Genomic DNA, 16,235 nt, shown 5'->3' with positions numbered 1-16,235 from the left:
GGGAAGGGAAAAGGTAGTTTCAAAAATAACTTCATCCTAGGAAGCTAATAGGAATTTACTACAATGGAAAGACTGGGAAAAGAAAGATTATGGTGCAAGACTAAGAGAATTCTCATGGACATGTTGCCTTTCTGATATCCAGGTGCAGAGGTCAAACAGGCAGGGGGAAACAGGTATGTGGGTCTTACAAGCTGGGACTGGATTGGTTACTAAATGAATAAGAACATGTGAAATCACCCAAGGAGAGAGAGTATAGAGGAAGAAGGCATGCACCCATCCAGGGTAGAACAGAAAATGTCAGTTTCCAAAGACAAGGCTTCCATAAAGTTTCTAGAGGAAGCTATCAGGATGAGCATTTTAATTTAAATACCTATTTTAAAAACAAATTTCTGGAGAAAACTGGAACTGTTTCCACCAAACTGAATGCAGATAACAGAGACTGAAATAGAAAATATTAAAAAGGTGAGTTGAGCATATCTTTAATAAGACTAAGACCTTGAAGAATGCATAATTGTTTTTTACTAAATATGGAAAATTCACTGTCAACTGGGGCTTTTCATAGATCAAAAAAGGCCTGGGCTTCCTTCAATTTTTTTCCTAATGCTCCTGATATAGATAGGCACTTGATCTTAGCCAAAAGGCTGAGAAGTCATCCTGATATAGACAGAAAGATAAAGATAAAGAAATAGATAATATAATGATGTATACATATAATGAAAATATGCCAAAATTGAATTACAAGATGATATTGTTATAATATACATAGTTAATTAGAAGCTTAATATTTTAACACAAGAAAAGACTGTGTAACCTGAGATGTTGTAAAAGCCTAAGTTTGATGTCCTTTGTGAGTGCAAGATCTAGGCTTCTTGTCCCACTTCCTGACTCCAATCCCCTGTGGGCTTTCATGGAACTGTTGTGATAACTTGGACTGGTCCCAAGAAGATCAGACCTCACCTTGTGACTAGAAATGATGTCTTTTCTTCTCTAAAGGAAACAAATGCCCCCTGTGTCAGTGAACAAGCTTTGGACCTTAGGCTGTAGAAGGGAAGGACTCACCTACTCTTCGGTTAAGGCAATTGGAGGGCTGGACTCTGGACTATGCAGATGTCTGGGTGGGGCTGGGCCATCCCTATGGAACAAGTTGGGCAAAGATCCTCTAGTTGTGAGCCTGAAGGGTAGCCAAGACTAGTAGCAAGAGAAGCAGCCCTGTGTGTCACTCCTCTGGGTGTTAAGTTTTATTAAACACTACTGCCTGAATTTAGCTGTGTTTGGGGGAATGAAAGAAGTGATTTGAATCCATGCCTAGGGTGGACTGTTGTGGGAGAGAAAAATGGGAAAAGGAGAGTTATATGACTGTGCATTGTAAACTCAAGTTTTTAGGCAGTCTAAGGTGATCCATTCAAAGCTTATGTGGTTGGCATAAGGGCAAGTGACCACCTAGGCAGACTTGCAGAACACATAAGCAGTCTTCCTGGGTTCTTTGCCTTGGTTCTTGGCAAGTGGGAGACAAGGTAGAGATGGACTTTTCACAGTCCTATGGATGAAGCTCAGAAAATGATCACTGGGGATATAAAAAAGAAAGTTCTGATATAGGAAAATGGCAAATAGGACACAGGACTAACTTGCAGCTCCCACTCAGATAAACAGAGCAGTGTGTGGAGAATCACAACATGAACTTTTGCTCCAAGAACTACCACAGGAACATACCAGGAAAGCTGAGAGAATCCACAGACCCACTGAAAGAGGCAGCTTGCTGCCACAGGCTCTATGAAGCAACTGAAAAACTGTTAGTACCCAAAGTGTGACAGGGGGTATGTCCACCCCTGAACACACATCCTCACTGGGAAACTTGCAGGTCCAGATCACAGAAGAAGGATTTGACTCACCTGAAGCTGAGATGAATTTAGAGAACTGAGTGAAATATAGGGGTAGGAGAAGCAGCAGGAAGAGCTCTGTGGGCACTCTCGGTCCCCAGGGAAGCCATTTCTGACTGTCTTGCAGGAATCCTTGGGGAGGGCTGCCAGTGGAATTGGGGATAGACCACAGGGAGAAGGAAACTTTCAGCAGAACTTTGTAACAATTTCAACTGAACATGAAGTTTCCTGGACAGAGTCTGGGGGAGGGGGGTGAACGATGAGTGCAGATAAAGCACAGAAGCCATGGCAGGCTGAGATGTATGAAACCTGAAAGCCCTGCTTGCTTTTTTGGCGGGGACGCCTGTAGCCTGAGGCCAGATCTCAGCCCTGCTCACGGGCTGCCTGGAAATTAACTCATTGCTGTTGGGGGGCATGGTGGGAGTGAGACCGACCTTTCACATTGCTTGGTAACTGGGTGAGGCCTGTCACTGCTGGCTTTCCCCCACTTCCCTGGTGACCTGTATGACACAGCAGAAGCAGCCATAATCCCCCTGGAAACATAACTCCATTCTCCTGAGAACCTCTATCCTCCACAGCAGCTGCAGCAAACCCTGCCCAAGGGGAGCCTGAGCTCAGACACACCTAAACCTGGCCCCACCTGATGGTCCTTCTCTACTCATCCTGGTAGCTGAAGACAAAGGACATAATCTCTTGGGAGCTCTATGGCCCCACCCACTACCTGAGAAAGCCAAATACTTATCCAGATGACCCCAGGGCAAGCTCGTATCCTCCCTATACCAAGCAGCTGGTGTTTTCTTGAAAGGGCCACCTCCTAGCTGGAGGCTAACCAATGCTAAACCAGCACACTAAATAAAACTATAACCAAGGACCCTCACAGAGTCCACTTCACTCTCCTGTTACCTCCACCAGAGTAGGTGCTGTGCCAGAAATCTAGACATCCAAATACAAGAAACTCAAAGAACACCCAGGAAATTCATCATAAAAAGATCACCACCTAGGCACATAGTCATCAGATTATCTACAGTCAAGATGAAGGAAAAAATCTTAGGAGCTGTGAGGCAAAAGCATTAGGTAACCTGTAAAGGAAAGCCTATCAGATTAACAGCAGATTTATTAGCAGAGAGAGAGACCTGAAGATGGATCATGTCACAGGACTCTTTGCAGGCACTCCTCAGTACCACCCTGGAGCTTGGTAGCTCCATTGAGTGGCTAGACCCAGAAGAGAAATAACAATCATTGCAATCATTGCAGTTTGGCTCTCAGAAAGCCCCATCCCTAGGGAAAATGGGGAGAGTACCACATCAAGGGAGCACCCCATGGGATGAAAGAATCTGAATGACAGCACTTGAGCCCTAGATCTTCCCTCTGACATAATCTACACAAATGAGAAGGAACCAGAAAAACAATTCTGGTAACATGACAAAACAGAGTTCTTTAACACCCCCAAGACATCACATTAGTGCACCAACAATGGATCCAAACCCAGAAGAAATTCTGAATTGCCAGAAAAAGAATTCAGAAGGTCAAATATTAAACTACTCAAGGAGGCACCAGAGAAAGGTGAATACCAACTAAAGAAATAATAAAAAAAAAAAAGTTAAAAGATATGGGTGGAAAAGTCTCCAGAGAAATAGATAGTATAAGTAAAAAAAAAAAAAAAAAAAATCACAACTTGTGGAAATGAAGGACACACTGAGAGAAATGAAAAATACACTGGAAAGTCTCAACAATAGAATCAAACAAGCAGAAGAAAGAATTCAAAGACAAGGCTTCCGAATTAACCCAATTTGACAGAGACAAACAAAAAAGAATAAAAAAAAATGAAGCCTCCGAGAAGTTTGAAATTATGTTAAATGACCAAACCTAAGAATAATTGGTGTTCCTGAGGAAGAAAAGAATTCTAAAAGTTTGGAAAACATATTTGAGGGAATAATCAAGGAAAATTTCCCTGACTTTGCTAGAGATCTAGACATCCAAATACAAGAAACTCAAAGATGACCCAGGAAATTCATCATAAAAAGATCACCACCTAGACACATAGTCATCAGATTATCTACAGTCAAGATGAAGGAAAAAATCTTAGGAGTTGTGAGGCAAAAGCATCAGGTAACCTGTAAAGGAAAACCTATCAGATTAACAGCAGATTTATTAACAGAAGCCCTACAAGCTAGAAGGAATTAGGGTCCTATCTTTAGCCTCCTTAAACAAAACGATTATCAGGCAAGAATTTTGTATCCAGGAAAACTAAGCTTCATGAATGAAGGAAATATACAGTCTTTTTCAGATAAACAAATGCTGAGAGAATGTGCCACTACCAAGCCAGCACTACAAGAACTGCTAAAAGGAGCTTTAAATCTTAAATCCTTGAAGTACTCCAAAACAGAACCCCCTTAAGCATAAATCTCACAGGACCTATGAAACAATAGCACAATAAAACAACAACAACAACAAAATGAAGTATTCAGTCAACAGCTAGCACAGTGAATCAAATAGTACCTCACATCTCAATACTAACATTGAATGTAAATGGCCTAAATGCTCCACTTAAAAGATACAGAATGGCAGAATGGATAACAATTCATCAACCAAGTATCCACTGTCTTCAAGAGACTCACCAAACACATAAGGACTCACATAAACTTAAGGTAAAGGTGTGCAAAAAGATATTTCATGCAAATGGACATGAAAAGCGAGCAGGAGTAGCTATTCTTATATCAGATAAAACAAACTTTAAAGCAACAGCAGTTAAAAAAGACAAAGAGGGACATTATATAATGATAAAAGGACTTGTCCAACAGAAAAATATCACAATCCTAAATACATACGCACCTAACACTGGAGCTCCCAAACTTATAAACATTACTACTAGACCTAAGAAATGAGATAGACAGCAACACAATAATAGTGGGGGACCTCAATACTCCGCTGACAGCACTAAACAGGTCATAGAGATAAAGTCAATAAAGAAACAATGGACTTAAATTATACGCTAGAACAAATGGACTTAACAGATAGTTACAGAACATTCCACCCAATAACTGCAGAATAGACAGTCTATTCATCAGCACATAGAACATTCTCCAAGATAGACCATATAAAAGGTCACAAAACAAGTCTCAATAAATTTAGGAAAATTGAAATTATATCAAATACTCTCTCAGATGACAGTGGAATAAAATTGAAAATTGACTCCAAACAGAACCCTCACGATGATAAAAATAGATGGAAATTAAATAACTTGCTCTTGAATGATCATTGGGTCAACAATGAAATCAAGATGAATATTAAAAGGTTCTTTGAACTGAACAATAATAGTGACATACCCTATCAAAACCTCTGGGATACAGCAAAGGCAGTGTATTAGTCCATTTTTATACTAATATGAAGAAATACCCAAGGCTGGTAATTTATAAAGAAAAAGAGATTTAATGGACTCATAGTTCCACATAGCTGGGGAGGCCTCACAATCATGGTAGAAGCAAAGGAGGAGCAAAGGCACATCTTACATGGAGGCAGGCAAGAGAACATATGCAGGGGAACTGCCCTTTATAAAACCATCAGATCTTATGAGACTTATTCACTATCATGGAAACAGCACGGGAAAAATCTGCCACCATAATTCAATTACCTCCCACTGGGTCCCTCCCACAACACATGGGAATTATGGGAACTACAATTCAAGATGAGATTTGGGTGGGGACACAGCCAAACCATATAATTCCACCCCTGGCACCTCTCAAATCTCATGTCCTCACATTTCAAAACCAATGATCTCTTCCCAACAGTCCCCCAAAGTCTTAACTCATTCCAGCATTAACTCAAAAGTCCACAGTCCAAAGGCTTATCTGAGACAAGGCAAGTCCCTTCTGCCTATGAGCCTGTAAAATCAAAAGCAAGTTAGTTACTTCCTAGCTACAATGGGGGTGCAGGCATTAGGTAAAGACACCCATTCCAAATGGGAGAAATTGGCCAAAACATTGGGACTACAGGCACCATGTTTTGGTGCCTGTAGCAAGAATCACCCTTCCTCCAGTTCTCAACAAGTTCCTCATTTCCATCTGAGACCATCTCAGCCTAAACTTTATCATCCATATTAGTATCAGAATTTTGGTCAAAGCCATTCAACAAATCTCTAGGAAGTTCCAAACTTTCCCACATTTTCCTGTCTTCTTCTGAGCCCTCCAAACTGTTCCAACCTCTGCCTGTTACCCAGTTCCAAAGTTGCTTCTACATTTTTAGGTATCTTTACAGCAGCACCCCACTCTCTGCAGTACCAATTTACTGTATCTGTCTATTTTCATACTTCTATGAAGAAATATCCAAGATTGGGTAATTTATGAAGAGAAAGAGATTTGATGGACTCACAGTTCCATATGACTGAGGAGGCCTCACAATCATTGCAGAAGGTGAAGGAGAAGCAGTCACATCTTACATGGTGGCAGGCAAGAGGGTTTGTGCATGGAAACTGCCCTTTATAAAACCATCAGATCTTGTGAGACTTATTCACTATCACAAGAACAGCATGGGAAAACCCGCCCTGATGATTCAATTACTTCCCACCAGGTCTCTCCTATGATATGTGGGGATTATGGGAGCCATAATTCAAGATGAGATTTGGGTGGGGACACAGCCAAACCATATCAGGCAGTGCTAAGAGAAAAGTTCATAGCCTTAAATGTCTACATCATAAAGTCTGAGAGAGCACAAGTAGACAATCTAAGGTCACAGCTCAAGGAACTAGAGAAACAAGAACAAACCAAACCCAAATCCAGCAGAATTAAAAAAATAACAAAGATGAGAACAGAACTAAATAAAATTAAAACAAATAAAATACAAAAGATAAATAAAGTAAAAAGCTGGTTCTTTGAAAAGATAAACAAAATCAATAGACCATTAGCAAGATTAGCCACAAAAAGAAAAGATCCAAATAAGCTAAATTAGAATTGAAATCAGAGATATTACCACCAATACCACAGAAATATGAAAGATCATTCAAGGCTACTATGAACAGATTTATGTGCACAAACTAGAAAACCTAGAGGAGATGCATGCCAGTTAGAATGGCAATCATTAAAAAGTCAGGAAACAACAGATACTGGAGAGGATGTGGAGAAATACAAATGCTTTTACACTGTTGATAGGAGTGTAAATTAGTTCAACTATTGTGGAAGACGGTGTGACAATTCCTCAAGGATCTAGAACTAGAAATACCGTTTGACCCAGCAATCCCATTACTGGGTATATACCCAAAGTATTATAAAAGATGTATGCACACGTATGTTTATTGTGGCACTATTCACAATAGCAAAGACTTGGAACCAACCCAAATGTCCATCATTAATAGACTGGATAAAGAAAATGTGGCACATATACACCATGGAATACTATGCAGCCATGAAAAGGATGAGTTTATGCCCTTTGCGGGGACATGGATGGAGCTGGAAACCATCATTCTCAGCAAACTATCACAGGGACAGAAAAGCAAACACTGCATGTTCTCACTCATAAGTGGGAGTTGAACAATGAGAATACATGGACATAGGAAGGGGAACATCACACACTGGGGCCTGTTGGGGGGTGGGGGGCTGGGGGAGGGATTGTGTTAGGAGAAACACCTAATGTAAATGACAGGCTGATGGGTGCAGCAAACCAACATGGCACATGTATACCTATGTAACAAAACTGCACATTGTGCACATGTACCCTAGAACTTAAAATAAAAACAAGAACAACAATGACAACAACAACACTAATCTCAAAAAACTTAAAAAAAAAAAAGAAAACCTAGAGGACATAGATAAATTCCTGGAAATATACAACCCTCCTAGATTCAACCAGAAAGAAATAGAAACTGAACAGACCAATAACAAGCAGTGGGATGGAAATGGTAGTAAAATAAATTGTCAACAAAAAAAAAGTCCATGACCAGATAGATTCACAGCTGAATTCTATCTGGTCAGGGACTTTTTTTTTTGTTGGTGATTTTTGCTGGTGAGAATATAACTAGTACAACTGCTATGGAAAACAGTGTGCAGATTCCTTAAAGAACTAAAAGTAGATCTACCATTTGATCAAGCAATCCCATTACTGGGATTCTACCCAGAGGAAAAGAAGTCATTATCAAAAAAGATATTTGCACATGCATGTTTGTAGCAGCACAATTCATAATTACAAAAATATGGAACCAGCCCAAATGCCCATCAACTAACCAGTGAATAAAGAAAATGTGGTACATATATACTATGGAATACTATGCAGCCATACAAAGGAATGAAATAATAGCATTTGTAGCAACCTGGATTAAGTTGGAGACCATTTTCTAAGTGAAGTAACTCAGGAATGGAAAACCAAACATCGTACATTCTCACTCATAAGAGGTAGCTAAGCTATAAGGACATAAAGGCATAAGAATGATGCAGTGGACTTTGGGGACTCAGGGGAAAGGGTGGGAGGTGAGTGAGGGATAAAAGACTACACACTGGGTGCAGTGCACACTGCTCAGGTGATGGGTGCACTGAAATCTGAGAAATCACCACTAAAGTACTTATACATGTAACCAAATACCACCTGTTTCCCCAAAACCAATTAAAATTAAAAAAATACCAAAAAAAATCCTCATCTTATAGTTTCAAGATGTTGTGATCAGGAGATATGTCTGTTAAAAATGTAGCAATATCCATGATGTCTAAGAAAAGCACTCTGTGGCATTTTTAAAGATAAAGACTGTTCTTCTGACCTTTAGGTACTTATAATTAGAGATAAAATAAAGTGACATGAAAAGTTGAATAAATATATAAGCTTACAATCCAAATAATGTAATATGTAAGTAATGTGTAAGTAAAGGCTAGGATGTAGGTTTGAAAGAGCCTATAGTCATGTGGGTAGTTTGTTTTGGAAGACTGTAGTACGGAGGAATAATTTGTGTGGATCTGGATTAGAAGACAGAAAATCACTCCTGGAGTCAAATTAGAGAGGAGTTATATAATCAGAACTTCTAGATCCTGAAATTTTACAGGCAAAGTGGATTTTCAGATAGAGAAAAGAATTTATTCTTTCAAGACTCCTTTGGAGTATGTGTGGCTGCCCCTCACACTGCATTACTTCTTTTTAATCTGCACATGTGACAAATCTTTTATCCTACTATAATTATGAATTGAGTTCTTGTATACACACAGTAATGTGTTAGGTGCTTAGATATATAACAATGACAACGATGATACAATATGGATATTGATAGAAGCTATGATGACCATTCACATTTATTTGGACACTTTATTAGTTTAATAGCCTTGTTGTAACAAGTTACTACACACTGGGTGGCTTAAAACAATGGAAATTTATTCCTACAATTCTGGAAACTACAGTCAGAAAGCAAGGCATTGGCAGGGTTGATTTCTTCTGGAGGCCCTCAGGGAGAATCCATCTGATACGGTTTGGATGTTTGTCCCCTCCAAATCTCATGTTGAAATGTGATTTCCAATGTTAAGGTGGGGCCTGGTGAGAGGTGTTTGGGTCATGGGGATGGATCCTTCATGAATGGCTTGGTGCCCTTGCCATGGTAATAAGTGAGCTCTTGATCAGTTAGTGCATGAGGGAGCTGGTTGTTTAAAGGAGACTGGCACCTCCTCCTATCTCTCTTGCTCCCTCTCTTGCCATTTGACATGCATGTTCCCCCTTTCTTTTGCCATGGGTAAAAACTTCCTGAGGCTTCACCAGAAGCCAAGCAGATCCTAGTGCCATGCTTGTGCAACCTGCAGAACTGTAAGCCAAATAAATCTCTTTTCTTTATAAATTACCCAGCCTCAGGTATTCCTTTATGAAAACACAAAACAGACTATCATACCATCCCATCACTCCAATTTCTGTCTCTGCCTTCAGATGACATAGTCATTTCTGCGTGTATCTCTGTGTCTCTGTTTTCTCTTTTTATGAGGCTATCAGCTGAATTAGGGCTCACGATAATCCAGTATTACCTTATTTCAACTAATTACATCTACAAAGACCTTATTTTCAAATAAGGTCACGTTTGTAGATACCAGGGGTTAGGACTTGAACATATCTTTTGGGGGAGCACAATTCTACCTACCACAGGTGTACAACTGTGTACACTGTGCAAAGGGTTTCATCTGCATCAGCTCACCTAATGACCACAACCAGCGAGGCTGATACCATTATTATCCCAAATCTATACTTGCAGTCCTTTACTTCCAGAACTCTAGAGTTGTCTATTCAATTGCTACTTGATATTCCCACATGGTTGCTGATTTTCCTTCAGATTTCTCAATCTTGCTTAGTGGCATTACTATTCCCTTATCTGTGCAAGTTAAAAACCCAAGAATAATTCTTTATTTCTCATTTTCCTTTGTACCAAATCTAACCCTACCTAGTAGGTTCTGCTAGCATGGTCTCAAAAAATTCTTTTTTCTTGAATCTGTTTACTTCTTTCCATTTCCACTGGTAATATTTTGTATTAGTTACTGTTTGCCCAATAATAAATTACATTAAAACTTTATGGCTTAAAACAATGAACATTTATTATTGCACAGTTTCTATGAGTCAAGAATCCAGGTGCAGCATAATGCCGTTAGCTCAATGTCTCTCTCTCATGAGGCTGCAGTCGAACTATCAGTTAGGGTTACGGTTTTATGTGAAGCCTTGACTGATAGGCAGAGGAAACTAATCCTAAGCTCACTCACATGGCAGGTCTCCATCTTTCACCCTGTGGGATTCTCCTCAGGCTGCCTCACAGCATGGCAACTGGTTTCCACCAGAGTGAGTGATGTGATAGACAGACAGTGCTCAGCATAGAAGCTATAGTCTTCTTATAACCTCCCATCAGCAGGGACACTCCCAACACTTCTGCCGTATCTTCTTGTTTAAAGGAGAGTCCACACTCAAAGAGGAGGGGGACACACTCAAGTAAGTCCAGTCCACACTCAAAGAGGAGGGGACTACACAAGAGTACATGGGTCACGGGGGACATCTTAAACGCTGCGTAGCACAGCAGGGCAGGATGTCATGATACCTTGTGGAAAACAGGAGTTGGAGGGAAAGTCATCTAAGCAGATATTTCAACAACTACACAGTGCTGGGGCAACAGAGATTGAAGTTCCAACCTGGTAAAGTGGAAGGGTGCAAGTAATTTGTCTAAGCTTTTGGTTGAAACTCCAGAAGGAACACATCCTAAGGGTTCTACACCCTATTCTCAACAAACGGAAAATATACATTTTTTTTCTAAGTATACATAGTATATTCATCAAAACAGACCACATGCTGGGCCAAAATCAAGTTTCAAAAAATTTCAAAGGATTGAAATCAGACAGAGCATGTATTTTGTGCACAGTAGAATTAAACTAGAAATCAATGAAAGAATGATAACTAGATGTCCCTCAAATGTTTTGAAATTAAGCCACACATTTAAGCAACCCATGAGTGAAAGAAAAATTAACAAGAGAAATTAAAAAATATTTTAAACTAAATCATAATAGAAATGGGACACATCAATATTGGTAGGTTGCAACTAAAGCAGTGCTTAGGGGGAAGTTTATAGTTGTATGTGCGTATTTTTAAAAAGATGAGAAGTTAAACATCTAAGCTTCCAAATCAAAATACTGGAGGAGGACAAATATGTTACTTACATAGAAAAAAAGAAGTATGAAAATTTTAAAGATAGGAGCAGAGTAATACATGGAGAGTTTCTGTGACGGCAAGTATTAACCTTCTAGTTGCCAGATGATAGAGAGATGTGTGAAGGGGGCCTCAAGAGAGGATGAGAGCAGCTTGGGGCAGGGGTTACTTAGTGCTCTCGGGGCAGTGGTTAACCTATAAGTATGGAGACATATAAACATTTTATAAAACTTCTACTGTTAAATTCCCTCATACCAGTGGAATATGAATATGGAGTCTTCTCAATATGGTCCCACCCTCTATTGTATCCTCTTGTCAACCTTTCCCCACCAGCTGCAATACCCAAACACTGAATTGTGCTGACACTAGCCCACTAGTCATTCCCTACATTTTGAAGCAATCTCCCTCTCTTCTTTGCCTACCCCATCACTCTTTTTGCTCAGGTAGACATTTTTCTTCTGTCCCTGTTGTCTGGTAAGCTACTAATTGTTCTCCAAGATTCAACTCACACATTGTTTTTTCTTTGAAGGATTCTCTTATTCCCAATATTCCCTAGACAGAATGAATTACTCTTTTTGTGCTGCCATAGAACTTTGCATGAATATTTATTATAGTACCTTTTACTGCCTTAGACAAACACAATAACAAATGACCACCCCTTCTCTAAACTGAATACCTCTTGAGAACTGTAGTCATATCTAATGCACCTTTGTATACCCAGCTCCTGACATATGCCTAGAAAATCATATGCAGCTTGAACCTATGAATGAGACATTAATTCCATTTCTTTCCTAACAACTAACATCCATTTAACAAAGAGAATGCATTTACAGTTAGAATACCCTGCAGTAATCTGTGAGCTCCGTTTCAAATGCTTCTCTGGTCCTCTCCGTATTCCACATGCTCACAACCTGGCAATTGCCATTCTCCGTGTGTGGGAAGCAATATCCCCCCTGAACTTTGCCCCAGCTGAGGGGGCCTCTGCAATCAGGGTAACAACCATGCTTCCTAGTCAAAGAGTTAATGGGGCTTTGTTTCAGCAGAAGATATTAAAACTGGTCTTGACTGCTCCACAGCGTTCAGAGGGCAATATTTATCACATTTCATTATTTTTCTAAATTAAATTCAGGCTGGGTTAAGGCTCCTCTAACTAAGTTGGAGAGACATCAGACCAATCATCTCTGGTAGCCTCTTCCTCTTCAGCTGTACCCTAGGGCTCATGCAGTTGGAAAGAGAGAGAGGATCCTGGTTCCGGTGCCCTGCAGGCACACTGCTGATGTTGTTGCCATGTCATGTCTGAGTGCCTAACAAATTCTGCAGCTCCACTGGCAGCTTCTTTTTATGCTGAGCTCAGCCCTGGTCATCTCTGTCGAGTGTCTCAACAGGATGACCCCATATGCCCACTTGCTATTGACACCCGTGCAGGCCTTCTCACTCAGGAAAGCACGGAGGCAAGCTTTGAACTCTTCTAAGTCTCCAACCTCTCTCCTATCCCAGTCTCTAAAGTTCATGACCTTTTGGACTTTAGCACTTCCTTTTTAAATTATTGAACTCGTCCATTCGACCGTTGAGAAATAATACAACCTAATCATGGCAGAACCTCTAAAATAGTGGTTGTCAAAATGTGCTCCCAGCAGGCAGCATCAACATCACCTGGGAGTTTGTAGACATGCATACTCTGGCCATACCTGATATCTACTGAATCAGAAACTCTGGGGCCGGGACCCAGCAATCTAGGTTTTCACAAGACTACCAGGTGATTTTGATATATTGAAGTTTGAGAATCACTGTTCTAAAACAAAGAGGTAGCCTTTCCCCAACTCCCACTCTAAAACACATTGAGAAAGAAGGAAGGAATATAGGAAGGGAGGAATTGGTTATTACTCTTCCCCTTAAATAAAGTTCAGGCAAAAGAAAATAAGGATGTAAGGATGTGAGGGATTAGGGGGAGGGGAGCAGGTATGTGCATTGGCTGCTTTCGCCTTCTAAGGTTATGAATATCCATGAAAGTAAAAACAAAATACAGTAAAATTTTTCCAATTGATTATTCTGCCACAGAATAAACTGTTGATGCATTGTTTTCATAGCTGTCTTAGAATCTCTTGAGGAGCTTAAAAACATTCCAAACTCTCGGTTCCTCCCCCTAGGAATTCAGATTTTGTAGGTCTGGATTAAGATCCAGATGTTATTTTTGCAAAGTTTCACAGGTTATTCTAATATGCAGCTGAGGTTAAAATGCATTGCCCTAGATCTTCTGTTGTCTTTTAAGAATGACACAAGGAATTTTAACTCCCTGTTACCTCCTAGGCCCATGTGTGACACAATCAGAAATGGACTGGGAACATCCAATCCTAGCTGCTTCTAGTGGCCTCGTATTCAGTCCAAGAGCTGACATTACCACTCTTTTTCTTGCTTGTTTACAATGATCAGAGGAACGACAGTAGCATTTGCACATAGGTCTAACCACTACAAAGTCATTGAGGAATGCTTTTGAATATCAGCCCCTACACTCTTCCCACCTCCATCATTGCAAACTAACTTAGGCTGACTTTTTATGTATAGCTTCTAAGTTCTTTTATTTTGTATTTTTTTAAAAAGTTTAAAAAATCGACAGCATTTTATGCTTTTATTGTATACAATATGATGTTTTGAAGTATATATACATTGTGGAATGGTTAAATCTAGATAATTAACAAATGTATTACCTCCTATAGTTATCATTTTTGTGGAAAAAGCATATAACATCTACTCTCTTTTAAGAATATAGTATATCACCATTAAGTATAAAAACCTTGCCATACAGAAGACCTCTTGAAATTTATTCCTTATATCTAACTGTAGTTATGTATCCTTTGATCAACATTTCCCATCCGCTCCTCCCCCAACCACCCTAGTCTCTGGTAACCACCATTGTACTCTCTACTATTATGAGATCAACTTTTTTAGATTCCACATATGAATGAGATCATATGATATTTGTCTTTTTGGTCTGGCTTATTTCATTTAACACAATATCCTCCAGGTTCATCCATGTTGTACCAAATGGCAGAATTTCATTCTTTTTTATGGCCAAATAGTATTCCATTGCGTATATCTACCACATTTTCTTTATCCATTTATCTGTTGTTAGACACTTAGGGTGATTCCATATTTTGGCTATTGTGAATAGTGCTCCAATAAACATTGGAGTGCAGATATCTCTTTGACATACGGATTCCATTTCCTTTGGATATATATCCAGTAATAAGATTGCTGGATCATATGGTAATTGAGACCTGAATAAGCATTTCTCAAAAGAAGACATACAACTGGCCATCAGGTGCTTGAGAAAATGCTCAATATCATGAATCATTAGGGAAATGCAAACCAAAACCATTCTTCTGCAGGCTTGGTGAATCTAGCTAGCATCTAGTATCAAGGATTTACCTCAGGAAAATGCAACAATGTTTTATCAGCAAGATATGGCTAGTGATGTAGCTTCAGTCAAACAGTAAAAACATTCTAAAACCACAGACTTGACATAAATCTATTTATCAATCAGGTCAATGGTGCCACTTACAAAGAGGGACTACTTTCTAGATTCTAAAAGCATGTTTAAAACTGCAATATAATTCACACATAATAAAGTGCAACATGCTTGAAGTATAACACTTGATTCCAACATGCCCGAAGTTTTTTCTTGCCTCTTTGTAATCTGTCTGTCTTTCAGACTCACTCATTCTGATTTGCCTCTGTCACTATAGTTTGCTTAACCTAGAATTTCATAAAAATAGAATCGTATGTATCCTTGTTTTGTACTTTAGAAAAAAATCTAGCTTTTTTTTTCACTGAGCATAATTATTTTGCAATTTATCCATACTACTGAGTGTAGTTTTATTGGGGGAACCTGCCCCCAATATTTCAATGTAAGTTTTTTCTATTTTCCCTAAGTGTCACCCAGACTGAAAAATAAAGAGAAAGAGTACAAAGAGAGGAATTTTACAGCTTGGCCGCCGGGGGTGACATCACATATTGGTAGGTCCATGACGACCACCTGAGCCGCAAAACCAGCAAGTTTTTATTAGGGATTTCAAAAGGGGAGAGGGTGTACCAACAGGGAGTAGGTCACAAAGATCACATGCTTCTGAGGAAATAGCGCAAGGACAAAAGCAAAGATCAAAAGGCAAAGCGCAAAATTAGAATTACTGATGAGGGTCTATGTTCAGCTCTGCACGTATTGTCTTGATAAACATCTTAAACAACAGAAAACAGGGTTCAAGAGCAGAGAACCAGTCTGATCTCAAATTTACCGGGGAGTGGTTTTTCCCCCACCCTAATAAGCCTGAGGGTACTGCAGGAGACCAGGGCATATTTCAGTCTTAACCACACAAGACAGACACTCCCAGAGCAGCCGTTTATAGACCTCCCCCAAGGAAAGCAATTCTTTTCCCAGAGTATTAAATATCAACATTCCTTGCTAGGAAAAGAATTTAGCGATATCTCTCCTACTTGCACGTCCATTTATAGGCTCTCTGCAAGAAGAAAAATATGGCTCTTTTTGCCCAACCCCGCAGGCAGTCAGACCTTATGGTTGTCTTCCCTTGTTCCCTAAAATCACTGTTATTCTGTTCGTTTTCAAGGTGCACTGATTTCATATTGTTCAAACACACGTTTTACAGTCAGATTTCATATTGTTCAAACACAGATGTTTTATAATCAATTTGTACAGTTAACGCAATCATCACAGTG

Source organism: Homo sapiens, chromosome 5 (genome assembly GCF_000001405.40).
Source record: "Homo sapiens chromosome 5, GRCh38.p14 Primary Assembly".
Taxonomy (NCBI): Eukaryota; Metazoa; Chordata; class Mammalia; order Primates; family Hominidae; genus Homo; species Homo sapiens.
Note: the sequence above shows the minus strand (reverse complement) of the source record.